A 22,509-nucleotide genomic window follows, 5' to 3' on the forward strand; every position below is an offset into this window, starting at 1 on the left:
GCTTCATGCCAGGGATTAGATTAACTCTTGCAAAACTGGTTCACCAGGAACAATGACTCAGTGTTTTTTTTTTAGTATCCGGCATATTGTGTGGAGCAGCTATAAATATATTTACAAGCTGGAGTTTCAAGGGAGGGGAGTAATAGCTTGCTGAAAAACATGCCAACTGAGTTATGGGTCTTCACGCAGCCAGCATGCTGTGTTTTGGGCTCTGCCTCTTGTAATTTTTAGAAATTAATTAGTTTATTCTTTATTTATATTTATTTATTTATTTATTTTCAGATGGGATCTTACTCTGTTGCCCAGGCTGGAGTGCAGTGGTGCGATCTCGGCTCTCTGCAACCTCCGCCTCCCAGGTTCAAGTGATTCTCCTGCCTCGGCCTCCTGAGTAGCTGGGATTTCAGGTATGCCTCACCATGCCTGGCTGATTTTTGTATTTTTAGTAGAGGCAGGGTTTCACCATGTTGGTCAGGCTGGACTTGAACTCCTGACCTCAAGTGATCCACCTAAGGGTACTGGGATTACAGGCATGAACCACTGCACCCGGCCTGTTGGTTGTAATTTTATTTTCCTCCTCAAGGACTTTGAGCACATTATCTTCTCTTTAATAACTTGTTTCCACCCTCCTTTGTGCACGCGCGCACGCGTGTGTGTGTGTGTGTGTGTGTGTGTGTGTGTGTGTGTGTATTTTCTGATCTCCCTACGGGGGCAGAGAGTCTCAAGCAGGTATGTCCATGTTATTAACATACTGTCTGCTTATTAACTAACTGCACCAATGATGAAAGCCAACTGACAAACAAGTGATGCTCTTATCCCTCCTTCGCAAGCAATGAATCTGAAAGCCAAGAGAAGTTTTCCTTTCAACAGGAAGTGTTTTGGAGTCCGAACAACTCTGCATTTAGACAGTGCAGCTTTTAGTTACAGATCTTGGCAATGGGGCAGGCAGAGGGAGCGGCAACTACAGACTTTGCCGTAGGACTGTTTTCTATGGAGTGTGTGTGCTCTGACGAGCTAGTGACAGGAGGGAGGTTACAAAAGCATTTACTGAAATAAGGATTTCTAATAGAGGAGCTTTTTAAAAGTATTAAATATGCTAATGTGCCTAGGGCATAGTCAACAAAGAGTTATAATACATGTCATTTTTCATATTTATCAAGGAAACCATGTCACCCGCAGCCTTTCTCAATTTCTGGCATTCTGAGAAACACACTGTAGTGGTGCCTGAGGGTCTGGGGAAAGAAGAATAGAATGAATGGGGCATCTCAGAATCGTAAACTCCCCCAGTTGTAGTTCCTTTCGATGTTGGTCGTTGGATGAATTTCCAGTTTCTACTATTGTGGTTGGATTGGGGAGAGTAGCTCAAATTGGGAATTGCTTTTTGAGGATCTAGGGCTTCTGGAATTCTCCCAGTTTCTTTTTACCTCTTTATGCTATCTTGTCTACTTTGAAAAATCAGTAGCATCCATTTGATTGCAGAGCTGAATCTTTCTATACAGTGAGGAGTTGTAATCACATTACTTATAACCTGCTTATTTAACTTTTTAAAGGTGCAAGTCATTGTAACCTAAGTATTTACTCACACTGATCCTTAATATACTCCCCTTTCTTATCTGCAAGCTTCTTTCTCTGGTTTCTCCTAACTCTGTTACTGCTCATGAGTTTAAAACTTTGTCTTCTCAGTTCCTGGCTTCACCTGTTTGGTCTCTGCTCTCCAGGACTCTGCCTTGGAAATCTGACTCACACTTCTATATGTCCCTGGGGCTCAACTTCGGGCCTGGCGCCAGAATCACCCAGGCTCCAAGCAAGCCTTGTAGACTCCACTCAGTCCTTTGACTCAAGGAAATCTCCACTTCTAAATGGCTCTCCGGTTGATTCTGATGCCAGTCCAGGGTTGAGAACCACCGCTTTAGCTTCTAGACACACAGCCCCCTCCCCTTTTTCCTGGAGCCCCTCTTGGGTCATGATTCTATTTTCCCTATTTCTGTACTCAGAAGGGATAAAAATGGAAGTGTATGTGAAGTTGCTACTACGTCCCAGGTGCTTTAAATATGTTATTTTATTCAATCTTCACAACAGTCTTATGCAGTCTCTATTTTTATTTTAAGAATGAGGAAAACAATACTTGGGTGCAGTGGCTTATGTTTGTAATCCCAGCACTTTGGGAGGCCAAGGTGGGTAGATCACTTGAGCCCAGGAGTTCAAGACCAGCCTGGGCAACATGGCATAACCCTGTCTCTACCAACAATACGAAAATTAGCCAGTCTCATAACCTGGTCTATAAATAAATAAATAGATAAAAATTTAAAAATAAAATAATTTAAAAAGAAAAGAATGAGGAAAACAAGATTCAGAGAGCCTTGGTCATCTTCCCAAAGGTGCACAATTAAGAAATGGCTAAGCAGGGGTTCTGACTCAGATCTGTCAGCATCTACAGCTTTGCTATTTAAAAGAGCGTGGTCCGTGGACTAGCAGAATCAGTGTCACCTGGGATCTTGGTAGAAACACAAATACTTGAGTGCCATCTCAGACGTACTGAATCAGTTTCTTCAGGGGTAGGGTCCAGGAATATGCATTTTATGAAGGCCTCTAAATGTTTCTCAAAGTTTAAGAAGCATGGGGAACTATATCTTTTCCTACTATATAGTCTTATCTCTTTCCTTGTTTCTTTACTCCAAAGTATTGCCTTATTTCTTTCCCAGAAACCTCACTATCAGCTCACTGTGCAGCCTTACTCATATCTTCCTCAACCAGCAGTTTTATTACACACACCCTTCTCATTTCCTCACATTGCTCATGGTATCTGACTGAGTACAGGGATCCAACCTGGCTTTGGGTTTTGCACTGTCTTGCCTCAGTCTCTTAATTTCTTCCTATGTACATTTTAAGATATTGAAGACACTAACTTCCAAACCTCTTCTCTAAATCTGACAGTGAAGCAGTGTGTGTGTGTGTGTGTGTGTGTGCATGCCAGTGCATACACCACACATACAAGCACATACACAGAGTTAAGTTTGGTCACATTTACTTCATTAATTGATATATACCACAACTGAGAAAAACTTACTGGCATTCTGCTCCAAGCTTGAATTCCCAGACGAAAAACAAACAAGCAAACAAACAACTCCTCCTTACACAAAAATATCTAGTGGCCTTGGAAAATTCCATTTAACATTAAATTGTGTCTCTTCAAAGTGAAGCAGGGTGGGCAGATTTTTGAACATGAATCTACTGATAACACAACACCTCTTCAAAACTAGAATCTCATTCAGGGTTAAATGATGTCCAAGTCAAACCTGAGATGCTAGCATGATGCCCCATCCTCAGTCAGAGGTTTCAGGGTGGCAAACAACTTTTGCTCACTCTCCTCTGCCTCTCTCTATATTTGCAGAAAGTCCAGCTTTCACTGCAAAAGTTCGATAACTCTGTAAAACAGTTTGATCCTAACTTCAAAAGAATTTTTATGCTATTTGGAATACATAAAAAATGAATTTATTCCAATACTTTAGCCCCATAAATAATGCATAATGATTGGTGAAAGATTAGCATTTTGGAGTTCAAGTACTTAAAGCTTTCTTGGATGGATAATGCATCACCCTTAACTAGCATAAGGGGAAATAGAAGGTTGACAAGGAAAACTTAATTTAGGGTTCTTTATTTATTTTTCTCTAGTTATGTTTACCTTCCCAGGTTGTTTTATTAATGCCACTTTTCACAAGGATATTTCATGAATAAATATCAGGTTGTATCTCTGGCCATCTGTGATGATCACGTTTTTATTTTTAATGAGTTGCTCATGGATTATATCCTAACTGGAATTGCAGTCAGTATATTGAGATGCATTGACTCCATTTCTGTCTTTCATTCTTCTTTCTCAATGTATTCTCACTGGATTAGCACTCTTAGCCCTGAGGACTCTTGGGCCAGTTTTATTACTAAAAGAAGAATTACAGTTTTGCTACACAGTGACCTTGCAAGAAGTATCAGCACAGCTCAATTTCAAATTCTCCTCAAATATCAAATATGTTCTTGGTATATTTTGCTTAGCAGTTTATTGCCTTCTCATCTCCACTGTTTTTCCTGAGTAACAGCTCAGAAATCTATAAATAAAACTTAATAATGGGGAGTGACTCAAAAGTCTGGTTATTTTTATTAGTAAACTATTTTAGGGGTGAACACTTCACATTTTACATTCTCATGCTCCACAGTGCTGAAAATAGTCTGAATTTTTTTTGTGTGTTAGGTTGATGAGAATATTTTTGAGATGACTAGCAGAAAACAGAATCATTAAAACAGTGCTATCAGTTTTCATGTTGAATAACTTTACAGGAAATGATAGCATCTTTTTTTCTTTTTTTGAGACGGAGTTTCGCTCTTGTTGCTCAGGATGAAGTGCAATGGCGCGATCTCGGCTCACCGCAACCTCCGCCTCCTGGGTTCAAGCGATTCTTCTGCTTCAGCCTCCCGAGTAGCTGGGATTACAGGCATGCGCCACCATGCCTGGCTAATTTTGTACTTTTAGTGGAGATGGGGTTTCTCCATCTTGGTCAGGCTGGTCTCTAATTCCCGACCTCAGGTGATCCACCCGCCTCAGTCTCCCAAAGTGCTGGGATTACAGGCGTGAGCCACTGTGCTCAGCCGATAGCATCTTAACAATAAACATGCAAAGATTTGTAAATGTTGGCAAACAGCAAGAAAAACATATTTAGAAAATTGTGCTATGCTTTAATGTCCTGTCTGTACGATAATTTACTTAGCTCCCTACCTTCCCCCCAGCCCACCAGAATGTTTAAACTGAAATTTAAAGCACAGTTGATCTTGGCTTGGATAGGCAGCCTGCATATTAACTGAGGATTTAGTTAGTATCCAGGAGCAGATCTACTTCTCAAAGTGAGATTCACATAGCCCCCTTGGAAGCTTTCAAATAGATTGACTAGCCTTTTAAAATTCCTCTTCTCCCCTTTCTTATTGCCCCCGCCTTGTCTAGCTGTATGCTAACTTGCTGCATAGAATCCTGAATTTCTGGATTTCTACATTTCTAGCTCAATGAATGGGGTAAATCAAAACTTAATAACACTCTTGATTTTGAAAAGCTTCAGTGCTTCATGTAAGACTTTTTGAGAAAAGATCATTTTCATTTATTTCTGTTTTATTTCTAGCTTAATGATTAAATGTAAGCTGTTCAATACCTTTTTCAATATCCCACTTGTTAAACCCACACTAAACCTCAGAAATATTGAGTCAGTGATCTAAATTTCCATTCAAAATTTCCACAAAGCAGAAGCATAAATGTTTTCATTGTCATTACAAATAAACAGACAGGGCTGGGCGCAGTGGTTCATGCCTGTAATCCCAGCAGTTTGGGAAGCTGAGGTAGGCGGATCACTTGAGGTCAGGAGTTTGAGACCAGCCTGGCCAACATGGTGAAACACTGTCTCTACTAAAAATACAAAAAAATTAGCTGGATTGGTGGTGTGTGCCTGTGATCCCAGCTACTCAGGAGGCTGAGGTAGGAGAATCACTTGAACCTGGGAGGCGGAGGTTGCAATGAGCTGAGATTGTGCCACTGCACTCCAGCCTGGGTGACAGAGTGAGACTTCATCTCAAAAAACAAAAACAAAAACAAAAACAACCCCTTCCCCTCCACGAAAGAAAACCCCAAATAAACAGACAAATGAAAGCAATGAAAACAGGAAAATAATTTTGACACCTACTTCTGGGATGTTATGTTATGCTTTGCATTGGTTCTATTTATTAGACATGTTCCCATCTTTATTATTTAAGAGCAGATAAAATAACCTCACTACATTAATCTCTTTTGCTCTGCCTCTTTCCATATGATTCTTCACTAGCAGTTCCCAAAACAAAAAAATTGTGCACCAAAATCCCAACTGAGACTCAATTGTTTGCTGACTCAACAACTCTAATGAGAAATCTTATACAAGAGCTTTTGTTTCAAAAGGAAGTGCCAGGAAAATTTTGCTTCCCTCAAGCAATGGCATGTTTTCTTTTTCTGGACAGTGAGAACCATGTAATTAAACATATTTTCCTTTGTGCTTTGGCTGTCAGGAAACTCAGAGCCAAACTTGTAGCCCAAGTTTTATGGCTATGTAAGACATTATGGCCCATATATCTGGACTCTTCCTTTCTCCTTGGTATTGATCTTCAGTCTTGGCTTTAGTTTACAAAATATGCCATTATAAAAAATAACAGTATCTGTAGGCTGTCTGAAATTATTATGGAAAAAGTAGTGTACAAATAAATGAATAAGTCAATTGTTTGAAAAACAATGCATTTGTATCAGAAATAACTTTGTGAGTGGTCTTCAGGTTCCTAGTCTATTTCATTTTGATATATATTTCTTGTGGGTTTACCACGTGCCAGACAAAGATGTTCCTGGCAGGGGGGTTAATAATGTTAACAGTACTCAGTCTTTCTAGTGCCTTACAGGCTATAGAAGGAGAAAGAAATACAAAACAAACTAAAATAGGTATTCAATTGCAACAAAAGCAACTTGATGTAGGGGTACAGGGGAAGGAATAATTCATTCTACAGGCCTTTAAAAGATAAAGAGGTATTTCAAAGGCAAACAATGGAGAGAAGATCATTCTAAGCTAAGGAGGTTGCATGAAGAAAGCATAATGTCACTACTTTTTTTTTTTTTTTTGAGACAGGGTCTGGCTCTGTTACCCAGGCTGTAGTGCAGTGATGAGATCACAGGTCACTGCAACCTCCACCTTCAGGGCTCAAACCATCCTTCCACATCAACCTCCCAAGTAGCTGGGACTACAGCTGCATGCCACCATACCCAGATAATTTCTTTTATTTTTTGTGGAAACAGGGTTTTGCCATGTTGCTCAGGCTGGTCTTGAACTCCTGAGCTCAAGTGATCTGCCCACCTTGGCCTCCCAAGGTGTTGAGATTACAGGCATGAGCCACCGCACCCAGCATAATGTCATCAAATTGAAGTGAGAAATGGGAATGTCACTACCAACCATAAGTAATAAACAATAGATTATCATTAACTTTGCTCCTAGAGAAAGACAAGTTTATTTAGAGGTGAGGCGAGTAGAATTTTTTTAAGGGAACTTCTGGGTAATTTAACACCATGATCCTTCTCGAATGCCTTACAACGTAAAAATGTAGTTCTCCTTTTTCTTTTCTTTTCTTTTTTTTTTTTTTTTTTGAGACAGGGTCTCGCTTCGTTGCCCAGGCTGGAGTGCAGTGACACAATCTTGGCTCACTGCATCCTCCGCCGCCTGGGTTCAAGTGATTCTCCTACGTCAGCCTCCTGAGTAGCTGGGATTACAGGCGTGCACTACCACGCCTGGCTAATTTTTGAATTTTTAGTAGAGATGAGGTTTTGCCATGTTGGCCAGGCTGGTCTTAAACTCCTGACCTCAAGTGATCTGCACACCTCGACCTCCCAAAGTGCTGGGATTACAGGTGTAAGCCACCATGCCTGGCCATTTTTCTTGATAAAGGGGTGTCATTGGGGCTTCTCTTACTCCTGTCACTCATCATGGGTGCCATGTCTTTTTTTTTTTTTTTTGAGATGGAGTCTTGCTCTGTCGCCCAGGCTGGAGTGCAGTGGCGCGATCTTGGCTCACTGCAAGCTCCACCTCCTGGGTTCACGCCATTCTCCGGCCGCAGCCTCCTGAGTAGCTGGGACCACAGGTGCCTGCCACCACGCCCTGCTAATTTTTTGTACTTTTAGTAGAGACGGGGTTTCAGCGTGTTAGCCAGGATGGTCTCAATCTCCTGACCTCGTGATCTGCCCGCCTCAGCCTCCCAAAGTGCTGGGATTACAGGCGGGAGCCACTGCGCCTGGCCTGGGTGCCATGTCTTAATTGACAACCACAATGAAGAGAGGAAGGAAAGAGGAAAGAATAAGACAATACAAGAAGAAAAGGGAAGGAAAAGCCAATGACAGACATTAACTGGATTTTCCCACAAAGAGAGGTCATGAGGATCAAGAGCATACAGAAGTTTGCAAAATAAAGAGTTTCTCTGGCTTGGAGTTGACCAAAATAAGAGAAAGGTGAAGCGAGTATAATGTACGGAGACTTCTCCTGGGAGAAGTTGTCAGTGGAGAAGTTATTGGGTCATATAGTGATGGTGTGCAGATAGGACCTGGTGGTGAGTTGACGAGGAGCCATTGCCATTCAGCCATCAAGAATCATGATGTGTGTTGTGTAGGAATGGAGAGGTGAGTGTGGAGTGGATGGGGCGTAGATGGAGAAGCAGGAGGATTCGTCATGCACCCTGAGGCTTGCCAGTATTGATGTCAGACTTCCTCCGACCGTGTTGCCACCCTGGACTGTTTGACTTTGGTAGCTATTTTAAAACAGCAAGAAGAGCTGCTTGAGAAGAACCTGGGGGAGATTTCACAACCAGCAGCTGCATCGAATCTCCCTGGATGTGTGCTTTTGGAAACAATTTACACAAGGGCTGATTTCAACATGCACTAATATATACAGTTTAGCTGGCATTTTATATGGAAACTTTAATAAAATGGTTCTAATTAGTGCTTAATTTACATAGATTAGAGAGTTCTACAGGCCCACACAGTAGGGCTTGGGGATTTTATGTCATTTGATGGAGATGCCAGTTTGATTCAGATAAAGAACCAATTTTAGGGAATACTGCTGAAGTTTGCCCGACACAAATGAAGGAGTTGTAGCTTGCATTTCTTTTACCCACTCTTGTTCAGTGGCTTGAACTAGCTTTCTGTCTCTTCCACAAGATTTAGGACAAGATGGATTTCTGTGTCAGCATGTAGTAGGAGAGCTTTGATTTTCTAGTTCTGTCCTGTGTGGATCTGTATGTAGCTCAGATTCCCCCACAATCTAGGTCAGAGAAGCTGCTAGCCTTGGTGCAAAGTTTTCAAAAAGGCTTCTATTCAGAGAGATGAATAAGGAAAAACTCACACCCTACGTGCGAAGGTTGCTTAATGAGAGGTGTGAGATGGAGCTCAGTTGCCACTTATCTCTGTAGTTGGGTACCGTTGTGCAGTCTGTGCACTGCCCAGCCATTTGCAGTGACCCCAAAGAGGATCATCTGGTCATCTTGCGGGGAGAGACTGTGAGTTCCTGCCATGTCACTTGGTATAACATGAGAAAACTCAAAACTCTAGGCAGATCTTTGCACCTGCCCTACTTTTCTACCTGCTCTCACAATCTTCTTGAGGGTGACCAGAGTCCAAGTAACTAAGTGTAATTCAATGTGGTGAATGATATGATTGCTACACAGGAGTATCTATTAAGGCTTTCAAAATGTAAAGAGGAAGTGACTCATTCTTCCTGGTGGTGGTGGTTGCATCAATTGGTGTAGTCTATTGCCTCTCTCCCATCAACAAGGGACATTTGGCAAAGTCTGGAGTGTGTCAACTGTGGGGTGGTGGTACTACCGGCATCTAGTGGATAGAGGTCAGGGATGCTGCTGAACATTTTACAATGCCCAGGACAGCCCTCCCACAATAAATTATCTGGCCCAAAATATCAGTAGTGCTGCCATTGAGAAATCTGGTTATGTAACAGATAACTTTTTTTTTTTTTTTGACATGGAGTTTCACTCTTGTTGCCCAGGCTGGAGTGCAATGGCTTGATCTCGACTCACTGCAACCTCTGCCTCCTGGGTTCAAGTGATTCTCCTGCCTCAGCCTCCTGAGTAGCTGGGATTACAGGCATGCGCCACCACGCCCAGCTAATTTTGTATTTTTAATAGAGACGAGGTTTTACCATGTTGGCCGGGCTGGTCTTGAACTCCTGACCTCAGATGATCCACCCACCTCGGTCTCCCAAAGTGCTGGGATTACAGGCATGAGCCACTGTGCCCAGCCAACAGATAACTTTTTAAATTCTCAGCTGTTTAACCCAACAAATAATTATTTTCTTCCTCAAGCTGTATGTCCAGCATGGGTTGGCAACATAGCCCTGTTTTTCCTAGTCCCTTCAAGAAGTCTATTGATGGAAGATGCATTTTTATGTGGGCTTCTACCACCACTATGAGAGGGGGAAGGAAATTTGTTGGATTGTACCCTGAATTTTAAAAAGCTTCTGCCCAGAATTGACATATATTCTTTCCAATTGCATTTTATTGGCCACAATCCATCATATGACCATGCCTGAATTCAGAGGGAGTAGGTGGAGAATACATTTTTAATTTTTAATTTTTTTTTTTTTTTTGAGACAGAGCCTCACTGTCTTGCCCAGGCTGGAGTGCAGTGGCGCCATCTCGGCTCACTGCAACCTTTGCTTCCCAGGTTTAAGTGATTCTCCTGCCTCAGCCTCACAAATAGCCGGAATTACAGGCATGCACCCCCATGCCTGGCTAAGGTTTTTCATATTTTTAGTAGAAATGGGGTGTCACCATGTTGGCCAGGCTGGTCTCAAACTCCTGGCCTCAAGTGACCCATCCTCCTCAGCCTTCCAAAGTGCTGGGATTACAGGTGTGAGCCATTGTGCCCAGAGAGAGTGCATTTTTGTCTTGTACCCAGAAAGAGGAGAGAGTGAGAATAATCATGAACTACCCTAATGACTATCATGCTGATGGTAATGGTGGTTGTAGGATGGTGTGAGAATTTAAAGACGGCTTCACTCCTGTCACTTTGCTTACTTACTGCTGTATAACAAACTGCCCCAAACTTCAGGGATGAAGCTAACAAAAAAATCATTTAATTTGCTCATGAAGTTGCAATTTGGATAGGGCTGTGTAGAACAGCTCCTCTCTATACCATGGGGCATCAGTTAGGACAGCTCAAAACCTGGGAGTAACTCAAAGGCTGGGGGCTATAATCATCTGAATGCTTGCTCACTCCTGTGCTCTCATGTCAGGCAGTGGATGCTGGCTGTAGACAGAGACCTCAGCTGTGGCTGTCAGCTTGACCACCTACTCCCAGCCTCTACATGTGGCTGTTTGGCTCCCTTACAGTATGGTGGCTGGGTTCCAAGGCAGAAAGTAAATGCTGCCAGTTTCTTAAAGTCTGTCTGCAAATTGGCACAGCATTCTTTCTACCATATTCTATTCATCAAGGAGTTGTAGAGGCCAATTTTAAGGGGAAGAAAAATAGACCCTATGTTTCAATAGCAGGAAGGTCAAAGAATGTGGAGGCCCCAGAAAACTGCTTCCCAGGTAAGTGACAGGATAGAAAAACAAGATTTTTTTTTTTTTTTTTGAGACAGGGTTTTGCTCTTGTTGCCCAGGCTGGAGTGCAATGGCGTGATCTCGGCTCACCACGACCTCTGCCTCCTGGGTTCAAGTGATTCTCCTGCCTCAGCCTCCCGAGTAGCTGGGATTACAGGCATGCGCCACCCAGTTAATTTTGTACTTTTAGTAGAGACAGGGTTTCTCCATGTTGGTCAGGCTGGTCTTGAACTCCCAACCTCAGGTGATCCGCCTGCCTTGGCTTCCCAAAGTGCTGGGATTACAGGTGTGAGCCACCATGCCAGGCCAGAAAAACAAGACTTCTTTAGGTGGAGTTTGGGGAATGAGCTTTCTGGACAAGTAAACGGCATGCATCAAGGCACAGAAACATCAGAGCTGCATTTGAATAAATTCTCCTAGCTGGTCTTACCTCCTAGCTACTTACTTCTACTGTTGACATCAACCTTATAAACTTGCTAGAGGCTCAGTGTGGGGAAACAAACAAACAAAGCCTCATGAAACGTTTTGATCCAATTAGAAAATGTCTATTAAATACATTGTGTTTCACAAATGTGAACTATTAATACAATCTGGGTTTGTTCCGATTTAATTGTCTAAAATTATACATAATTCATCTTGCCAACAAATGAAATTATTGAAAAATTAAAAATATCACCACCAATTTTTTCTATTAAATGTATATTTTTGTAATGATAGCTTAAGTTTCATCTCAGTTTGAGATTTAGTACACTGTGGCATTCACTCTGGTTGGGGTTCATTTGGCTCTGAGCTTCAAGGTTCAATTTAGACTTCAAAGCATGTCGGACTTGACCTGAGGCACGTTTTTAACAATCAGGTGCAGTTTGTAAGGTTATGGGTTGAGGAATAGCATAAATGGGCCATCCTTTTTCTGATTTTGAGAAGAGAATGACTACTAATACCCAGGTGTGTTCTTGTCTTTCTTGAGTCAATTCTAACAGCATTGGCTGTGGGTTATAAAACCATAAAATTTTACAGCCAAAAACAACTTTAAAGGTCGTTTAGATGGAACTTCTTCATTTTGCAGATGAGGAAACTGAGAATCAGAGACAAAGTGACCTCAGGGCATTACAACTTACTATTACTATATTGAAAGAGGAAGGGAAGCTGGTGCAAGTTGAGGGACCCACTGATGAACTGCAGGGTATCCAATGTTGCCCCTGTGTTTGGGCTGAGGGAGAAGCAGCTTCTTAGCTTCTGCTATGCTGACTTATCTTGTGATCTCTGTCCCAGCCCTTGGCTGCCTCTCCTCCTTGTCCCCAGGCCTGCACCATTCCATCTGCCTCCTGATTATTCACTGACAGCTGCCTTTTCCCTCACCCTTTGTTCTCAGTTTTTAAAAATCCAATGGGGAGAAGCTTGGATTCAAATGATAGCATTTTCAGCTCATGAAAAATTCTATAACAAGTGTATTTGACCGTTTGATCTCTGGCTTCTCCCACACACTTGCCCTTTATACTCTGACAGCCATAAGCTTCATTTCCTTGAAGCAGATTGCAATTTCAATGGAAAGGAAATAATTGTGTAGCTTTCAAGCTGAGTTCAGTTCTAAAAAGGACTGAGCAAAGCTCAATCCTGGGCTATTGTAGAATCTTAGTCACTGAATCAGGCAGTGAAAGAGCTCTCTCCAAGCTTCATGGTTATGATCTTGAAAAACACCAGAGCTAGGTTCAAATTCCAGCCATACCATTTCCTAACTGTGTGATTTTGGCAAATCACACAAATACTTAAAATTCTTTCGACTCGGTTTCCTCTTCTGTAAAATGGGAACACTAATTAATGCTCACCTCAAAAGGTTGTTCATTCATTCAACACATATTCGTTGGGTGCCTCCTGTGTGTCAAACTGTTTCAGTCCAGTGAGGAAGATGGACATGAATCCAAGAGTCACCAAAAAAATGTAAAGTGGCACCTGTGATGAGTCACAAAGGGGAGGTATATGAGAAAGTGTGTGACAGTATCTAACAGGTGAGGGCATTATATAATTTATTGTTGCAAACAGGACATTTTTGAGCATGTAAGAGGGTGTGTTAATTGTCCTGGAACAACAGGCATAAATCAGGACTTTCTGGGCAAACTCAGGCCCTACCCCACTCTTACCTACCCTTAGTATAAGAGGGAAGGTTGGGAAAGGCTTTCCTGGGGAAGGGAAGAAGAAACTGAGATCCGCGGAATAAGTGAGGATTCCTAGGCAAAAAGAGGAAGACAGAGTGGTTTAGGCCAAGAGAGCAAACAGTGGTGCAAGACTCTAAGGCAGGACAAAGCATGGAGCCTGCAGAGAACAGACAGAAGGTCAGTGTGATGAAGATGGGAGGGGTGCGTGGCTTTAAACACAGGCCCCTTGCTTGTTGGTTTGCCCTGTAGGTGTTAAGAAATGAGGCTATATCAAGGTGAATTTTAAGTAGAGGTGGCACCTCTACTTAAGACCAGACTTGCAGCTTTAAACATCAGTCTGGCTGCAAGGCAGAATGGATTAGCATTGAGTAGTAGTTCTGGCCTTGGCTTTCCAGAGGAAACTTCTAAACAATATCAAAGCCTTGGTGTCACCCACAGAGATCCTGATTTAATTAGTTTAGGTTGGCTCCCAGTAGGTTATAAAGTGTGTCAGGATTGAGATTCACTGTAGAAGGAAGTGTGAATATGGAGAAGAATAATTACAAGGCTATTGCAGTAGCCCGGGTAAGAAGTGATGGAATAGGTTCATGGCAGTGGGTTTCTGAAGCAGTGGTTCTCAAACTGTAGTGGATTTGAGTATCACCTGGAAGTCTTATTTATTTATTAGAGATGGTCTCACACTGTTGCGTAGGCTAGAGTGCAGTGGTATAATCATAGCTCACTGCAACCTTGATCAGCCTTCATCTCCTAGGCTCAAGCAATCCTGCCACTTCAGCTTCCTGAGTAGCTGGGACTACAGGCATGGACCACCATGGCTATTTGTTTGTTTGTTTTTAATAGAGACAGGGTCTCACTCTGTTGCCCAGGCTGGTCTCAAATTCCTGGGCTAAAGCAAGCCTCTCTCCTTGGCCTCCCAAAGTGCTGGGATTATAGCCACTGCACCTTGGCACGGAAACCTTGTTAAAATGCAGATATCTGGGTATCATTGATTTAGTAGGTCGTGGATGGGGCCTGAGAATTTGCATTTCTGACAAATTACCTGGAGGCGCTAGTTGCTAGTTTAGAGATCACACTTAGCATCTAGTGGGTAGTGGTCAGGGATGCTGGTGAATATCATACAATACACAGAACAGCCCTTTTGCTGATCACTGATCGAGCAAAAAAACCATCTGATGTGGTAGATAACATCAACAGGATTTGATCAGCAGGGTAAAGGACAACTCCAGGACTCTTACAGTTTTCTGAATTTCACAACTAAATGACGAGTTTCACTATTCATTGACATTCAGGAGACAGCCCTACAGACCTGAGAAGATGGTGAAGTCAAAGCTACACATATATTTGAGGGTTACCTTTGAAACAGCTAAGAGGATACATCAAGCAGGAACATATATGTGGAACCTGGAAGGGAAGATCATTACAGATATAAACTTGGGGATCATTAAAGCCAGGAACTTATCAATGGCATCAGTCAGTTCTCTTTTCTTTTACTCTTATCATTGGTGTCAAAGCTCTGGCCTCTTTTTGTTGGTTCCACTCAGGTGCCGTGATCCTCCAGCCTCAGCACCTTGCTGTGAGCTCTCCTTGGGAGGCTGCCTCTCCCTCCTCCTTCAGAATTTACCCCCTACTTCTCCTTTGGGTCCCACCTCTCAGGCTTGGTCATGTGTGGCATTAGCAAGCAGGTGTGCGTGTTTCCTTCTGAAGCACAAATCAAAGCCATGGTTATGTATCTGTGGGATTATTTGCTAAATGGCCACCTCTCCTGCTAGATTCTAAGTTGCCTGCAGTGACTGGAGAACATCCCTAGGTATCAGATGCTCAATGTCTTACACTTATGGAACCGTCAAAGACAGCTGTTAAATGTCCAATGGGTCAGTTAGGGAGATGGTGGTTGTTAAAACTGTGATGAGTTCTCAGGAAGAGGGAGAAGCAGTTACCTTTGTGAAGCAGTTGTTGGTATTTACTTAGTAATGAGATTAAATTTCCTAGGACAGTGGGTGTGTGAACCAGCAATAGCGCCATCTGCTGGAAGTAAGTGATACAACAACTATTATCTTGACTAGGCTCAGGGCTGTTAAAACAGTATTGCTCTGGGAGAAAAGAATCATTTTTTTTAAGGTTAAAAATGTGAGTAAAATTCTTTAGAGTGAAGATAGAATTTCTTTTGAAATGGTTGGAAAAATTGGATAATTATTGAAAATAGTGTTCAGTTTTCAAAGAGGAGAGAAACCTTCAAGTCACTGTAATTAAGAGAAGTTTTATTGAAAGAACACATGGAATAAGGAAGTTAGATATCTCCACCCAAAACCAGCATTTCAGAAAACAGAAACAGGCAAAAATCTGGCGGAGTGTGGTGGCTCATGCCTGCAATCCCAGCCCTTTGGGAGGCCATGGTGGAAGGATCGCTTGAAGCCAGGAGTTTAAGAATAGCCTGGGCAACATAGTAAGATCCCCATTTTCTTTTTTCTTTTCTTTTCTTTTCTTTTTTTCTTTTCTTTTCTGAGACAGAGTGTTGCTCCTTTTGCCCAGGCTGGAGCGCAATGGCATGATCTCAGCTCACCACAACCTCCCGGGTTCAAGAAATTCTCCTGCCTTGGCCTCCTGAGTAGCTGGGATTACAGGCATGCACCACCACACCTGGCTAATTTCGTATTTTTAGTAGAGACGTGGTTTCTCCATGTTGGTCAGGCTGGTCTTGAACGCCCGATCTCAGGTGATCTGCCCACCTCGGCCTCCCAAAGTGCTGGGATTACAGGCATGAGCCCCCGTGCCCAGCCCCAAGACCCCCATTTCTATTTTAAAAAAAAAAAAGAAGAAGAAGAAGGAAAAGAAAAGAAAAATGGAAACAGGCGAAAACCTAGGCTTCTCAAAGACTGAAGGGTATTTTGGAACTGACTGGATATTGCTCATCTCTGGCTGGTTGTGTTGCAGCCTCGTTGGTGGCAAGTGCAGACCCTCAGTCAGTGACCTCCTTTGTTGCTCTTCCATCAAAGGGCCCCCTTCTCCTGCCCAGGCATGGTGTTACTAATATGGCGATGGTAGGGGCAGGGGCTGCATCTATGACGGGGAGAGGTATGAGAGTATACTCATCATTCTGCTGTTGTCTTTGTTAGTTTGTTTCTAATTTCTATTGTTGGGGAGAAAGATAAATTCTTCCCTAACCTCTTGGGATCTTCACCTGGGTCTAAGAATTAAATCACTGTAAGACAGGTTAACAGGAGAAAAATATATGAGTTTTATTGATTTTTACATGTACGCGGAGACCCTCATGAGACAGCAGAAGACCTGAAGAAATGGACAAAGCAGAAAGCTCTAATACCTTTTAGACAGAGAAACCATAAATTCATGAAGAGCTGACAAGACAAAGGGGTTTGGGCCAGTGGCAGTAAATTGTGGGAATTCACTAGGGAGGTGTAAAGATAGAGGAAGATAAGGGATAGTTTAGAAAGTTTATTTGTACAGCTCCATTGCAGCATCAACTCCCAGTCAATGGTGATAAGAGTTATTTTCTTATTCTGGTACAGGGAGGGCAACTTTCTTAAATAAATCTTTTTGGCTTACGACAGGTAGAAGAGGGCAGATCACATAGCCCTTTCCGGCATCTGCTGTTTCTCAGGTGACTTTAGCTCAAAATAATCAACATGCCACATCAGCAAATTTTGGGGTGACATGGCCTGTTTCGCTATGATAATGGGAAAGAAATCAGACTTTTTAACTTTGAATTAGAAAACACAAACTTTGACTATGTCCCACAATTTATGTGACTGATTTCATATTCTATCACATCTATTTTATATTCTCTCATATTCTCCTCATGAATTTTCCCCTAGAATGTTGGGGGAATTTTGAAATGACTTGGGGGGCATGCTACAATTCGAAAAGGAGAGAGACATACTCTCCAATTCTCTCCCTGCCTGCCTCACAATGTGCAGCTCTCCTCTGCTTCTTCTTCTTCTTTTTTTTTTTTTTGAGACAGCGTCTCACTCTGTCACCCAGGCTTGAGTGCAGTGGCGCAATCTTGGCTCACTGCAAGCTCCGCCTCCCAGGTTCAAGTGATTCTTCTGCCTCAGCCTTCCGAGTAGGTGGTACTAGAGGTGTGTGCCACCACGCCCAGCTAATTTTTGTATTTTTAGTAGAGACGGGGTTTCTTTATGTTGACCAGGCTAGTCTCGAACTCCTGACCTCAGGTGATCTGCCCACCTCAGCCTCCCAAAATGCTGGAATTACAGGTGTGAGCCAACATGCCTGGCCTCCTCTGCTTCTGATTCAACTGCTGCTACCGATAGACTTACTGAAGGATTTGAAGCCAAATGGTATTAATTTTGGTCAGTTACTTCCCTGTATCTGGTGTCCTCACTAGACAGAACTTCTGTGTATGGCTACTTCATAGACCCCGACCAGCCTACATATTGTTTGCTCTAAGGTCTAGTGCCCTCTCTTATTTCACTAAGATACAGCCACTGTTGGTGGGGGAGTCACATAACATGGAACATAATCACTGTATCAGTTCAGGTGCTCTTGATTCAAGTGGATTTAATTATGAGGGAATTTATTCCTTACATAATTACTAAGTCTAGCATTAGAGTGGCCTGCAGATGAGGGTTGATCCAGTGGCTCAGTGATGGCCAGAACGCTGTTTACTTTTTCCATTCTGCTATCTATGGGGTTGGCTTCATCCTGAGGTTGTTTTCCTTTCTGTCACAGGTTTTACATCAATGGGGTAAACTAGTTTACATTGTGGTAACAAGCAACTCTCAACTTTTTTTTTTTTTTTTTTTTTTAGACTGAATCTTGCTCTGTTGCCCAGGCTGGAGTGCAGTGGTACAGTCTTGGCTCACTGCAACTTCCGCCTCCTGGGCTCAAGTGATTCTCCTGCTTGAGCTTCCTGAGTAGCTGGGATTACAGGCATGCACCACCACGCTGGCTAATTTTCGTATTTTTAGTAGAGATGGGGTTTCTTTTTTTTTTTTTTTTCTTTTTGAGACAGAATCTTGCTCTGTCGCCCAGGCTGGAGTGCAGTGGCGTGATCTCGGCTCACTGCAACCTCTGCCTCCTGGGTTCAAGCGATTCTTCCGCCTCAGCCTCCCAAGTAGCTGGGACTACAGGCGCATGCCACCACGCCCGGCTAATTTTTGTATTTTTAGTAAAGACAGGGTTTCACCATATTGACCAGGCTGGTCTTGAACTCCTGACCTCGTGATTTGCCCGCCTCAGCCTCCCAAAGTGCTGGGATTACAGGCGTGAGCCACCGCGCCCAGCCAACTCTCAACTCTAGTAGCTTAAGACAACAAAGATTTATTTCTTGCTCTTACTGTCTGCCCATCTGTATCACCTTCTCTGCAGGACCCAGTTTAATGGAGCACACACAGAAAAAGGTGCTGGTCACTAGGGCCAAGGGAACAATGGCTCTGGAAGGTTTTTCTTGAACAATTCAGTGTTCCAGTCTTGGAGCAATACATCTTATTTCTACTGTTAAATCCATGGCCAGAACTAATCATGTTGTCCCACTCACCACAAAGCCATATGCAGCCCCACCATGTGCTCAGGAAAGAGGAATGGGAAGCATTTGATGAACAGAAATAATGACTTCAACAATTGGGACTATCAGTTCACAGTTTCAATTGTAAAAAAAAAAAAAAAAAAAAAAGACAGAAATAGAAAAAGAACAATTGAAAGTACTTGCTTTCTCATCCACGAAAAAAGTTGGTCAAAGCCTCTTAGTGTAAGTCTATAGCAGATGATGCCTGATAAGGAATTGTACATACCGTTCTTCGTGAAAACCAAGAGTACCATGTATGTAACATAGTTGCTTTGGGCTTCTTATAGCAGTTAAGAGTGTATCAGCAGGCCTCCATGGTATTTGAATGTTAAAAGCTTTCATTCCCCCTGGAAGAAAACACATAGCTAACTAAAGAAAGAAAAAAGAAGGGAAAAAGAACAAAGAAAAAGAACCACTAGAGTCTCTGAAAAGAGCTTATGAGATACCTGACTGTCTGCGCCTTCTAAGTATGTACCATGAAACCTTAGATTCCTACCTCATTTTGTGATGGTGTAGAAGGCACATTGGCCACCAGCAACCCTTGTAAATATTTGCGGATTTGAATTTCACAAATTGAAACCCAGACTGCTGAGGGCTTTGCTGCTAACGTCAAAGAGCTGGGGCAACTACCACAAAACCACATGTGGGAGACTTTTTAGATGAGGAGATAGGAAATTCCTAATAAGAAAAGTTTTTTTGTAAAATACTTTCTAATGCTGGCTCTTTAGAGAAGCACATTTTACATGTGCAATGGTGCAAAGTCCTAGCACTAAGATTTCTTCACTCACAGAAAGAAAGAATGATGCAGGTGCTGTTCACATGCGGCCGGAACCATGCCCTTGCCAAGCAGGTCAGCGGGGCACAGGGACTGCGCTCCTCATGATAGTGCAGATTGGCTCGGAAGTACTCAATTCTGTGGAGTCACAGCGCCCTCTGACAGATTTCAGTTTCTGGAAAAGGAAGGGCCCCCTTCAGGGTACCTGCTGTTCACCTTCCATTAGATTAAGGTTGAAGAGCGAGTGGCCATTTGTAGGTACTGGTATGAGATGTTCCTAGCTACCCGCATGTCAGCCCCGGGAAACGGCAACATTTCCCACCCTTCTTACCCTGGGTCCTGAGTAGGAATAAAAGTTAGTGATTCTTAGGGGCATATTGAGAGCTGGCAATGATACCTCTCACAAATCCATCCCCCAGAGATAAGGGGTCCCCCATGCCTTTGATGTATTTGGGAGCTGTGCTGTATGTGTTCTCTTTGGCTCCCCAGTGGAGAATAATAACAATAACAACCGCGTACTAATACAACCCAGATGTCAGCACAGACCCTCTGTTCTCTGTCTTCCCTGAGATATCTGTATCTTCTCAGGGATTACTGTCGGTTCAGGCCTGGCTCCTGCTTTCAGCTTGTGGGAAAACTCACTCCATCTTCATTCCATAACCTCACATCTCCTATGCCAGTTCCCTTCTCTGTGCTCCATGCTGAACCAAATGCCACACTCATCCCCTTTGCTTTGAATTATATGAAAAAAAGAAAAAACCCTCATGGGGACTTTATGTGTAACAGTCTTCACTGCACATTTGATAACACAGATGGGGGTTTATATCCTAGCAGAGCAGATATTGTCAATGGAAAATGGAAACAAAACAAAACACAAAAGACAATCTTCAGCCATCACTATGTAGCTTGGCTATCATCTTTTGCTTTCTCCTTTACTTCTGGAGTCCCCCCACATACCCTCAGAAATGGAGATAGACTCTACATCAATCTCTGCTCTGGGAAATCTACTCACATATCCAAAGGCAAACTAACAAGCTCTTGCTCCGACAACCCATCGACTTGGGGTCTCATCCCTCCCTGCCTACCAGTCTCTGTGACTGAAAGGGGCCCATACAGAGACTTATTTTCCCAGGAACGTGAATGATATCCTTCTCCTGTTCCTTGACCTTGGGAGGCAGATTTGATTATGGTCAGCTTTGATTCAAAGTAAGTTTTTTTTTTTTTCTCCCTTAGGAGAATGTTGTGAGGTGCTGATTGTTCTCTGCTTCATAATCGTATCACTTATTACTGATAATCTTTTTCTGCCCCCAGAGGTTGCTGAAGAATGTAGCATATACAGTGGACACAGAGCCCTGATAATACAATTACTAAATTCTCCAAGGTTGAGGGCCTGGTCTTAGGTCATGAGATTACTGATCCTTGCCTTCTGCCTGCTAGGAAGGCCCAACTAATTTCACAGTCTTTATCAGTGAACCATAGTAAAGGGGGACCAGAAGAGAAAAAGGTTATGTCTTTTGGGAAAATGCCAAAATCATATTGTGAAAATCCTTCCTACTGTTCTTCTCATGGGAGGGGGAGGACTTTGGACTTGTTTCTCTCCTTTTCCTGTACATTTGGGGATGTCAGAACCGTCTGTTTCCTCATCTACACGTGGTTAGATGCCGACAACAATCTCTTCTCTTAAAATTGCTTACTATTAGACCAGCAGAGTGTTTGGTATTAATTGAGCAAGGAGGAATTTGTAGGAAAGGCTTGGCTTAACTAGGAGAGGGAATGCCAGGGAGAAATCTGTATTTCCCACTATTTTTTTTTCTTTTTTTGAGGCACAGTTTCACTCTGTCGCCCAGGCTGGAGTACAGTGGTGCAATCTCAGCTCACTGCAACCTCCGCCTCCTGGGTTCAAGCGATTCTCATGCCTCAGTCTCCCGAGTAGCTGGGATTACAGGCGTGTGCCAGCACACCCAGCTAATTTTTGTATTATTAGTATAGATGGGGTTTTATCATGTTGGCCAGGCCGGTCTCAAACTCCTGGCCTCAGGTGATCTGCCCACCTTGGCTTCCCAAAGTGCTGGGATTACAGGCATGAACCACCACACCTGGCCATTTCCCACTATTTTGTTGATAAAGACATTTGGATTTCCCTGCATTAGGCAGATGTGGAAGAAGATGGAAGCGATGAAAACCTTCTTGCCAAAATCTCCCAAAAGACCTGGCCAGTGGGTGAGCAGATCTCAGTTACAAAAAGCCTATAGGTTGAATTTTCTAAGAAAAGGCCTGGGGAGGAGGTACCAGGAGTCCAAATTGAAGTTCGATTTTCATTATCACAGATTTTCATATCTCTCTATCTCCCTTTTTTTGTTTTTGGTGAGACAGAGTTCAAGACCAGCCTGGTCAACATGGTGAAACCCCGTCTTTACTAAAAATACAAAAAATTAGCCAGCCGTAGAGGCGGGTGCCTGTCATCCCAGCTACTCGGGAGGCTGAGGCAGGAAAGTCACTTGAACCCAGGAGATGGAGGTTGCAGTGAGCCGAGATCATGCCATTGCACTCCAGCCTGGGCGACAAGAGCCAAACTCCATTTCAAAAAAAAAAAGAAAGAAAAAGAAAAAAGAAAAAAAGAAAATGCACTTTTTGCTGTCAGTAAAAGTTAAGCAAAAGTCTTGCTGAGAGACTGATATTTAAATAACTATTATAATGCAATGTAAAATTACTGCAAGAGATATGAACACAGTGCTCAGGAAGCTTAGAGGAAGGAGAAACCAAGTCCTTAGTGATGGAAGGTGGGCTGTCAAGGAAGGCTTTGTGGAGGTTGTGTAATTGTAGGATGAGGGCCATGTAGTAGGTCGACGGGGCCCTCGTGTGCCAGGTGGAAGGAAGCCATTTAAGTCTTTTAAGCTGAG

General features: G+C 42.9%; 1 protein-coding gene across 1 annotated transcript in view, besides 1 other annotated feature; it reads left to right on the plus strand.

Moving 5' to 3' along the window:
• Nucleotides 1–22,509, plus strand: part of TMC1 (transmembrane channel like 1) — a 316,690-nt gene that overhangs the window by 56,012 nt on the left and 238,169 nt on the right. Inside the window, exon 2 of the mRNA NM_138691.3 lies at nt 283–404. The gene's annotated coding sequence lies outside the window, so the exon portion shown is untranslated. The remainder of the gene's footprint in view (nt 1–282; nt 405–22,509) is intronic.
• Nucleotides 15,043–15,102: an enhancer, noted in NCBI's record as "active region_28462". NCBI's record gives its function as "activates an Ori minimal core promoter by ATAC-STARR-seq in GM12878 lymphoblastoid cells {active_cell/tissue: GM12878}" and the evidence as "EXISTENCE:reporter gene assay evidence [ECO:0000049][PMID:35858748]".

This window comes from Homo sapiens, chromosome 9 (assembly GCF_000001405.40).
Source record: "Homo sapiens chromosome 9, GRCh38.p14 Primary Assembly".
NCBI lineage: Eukaryota > Metazoa > Chordata > Mammalia > Primates > Hominidae > Homo > Homo sapiens.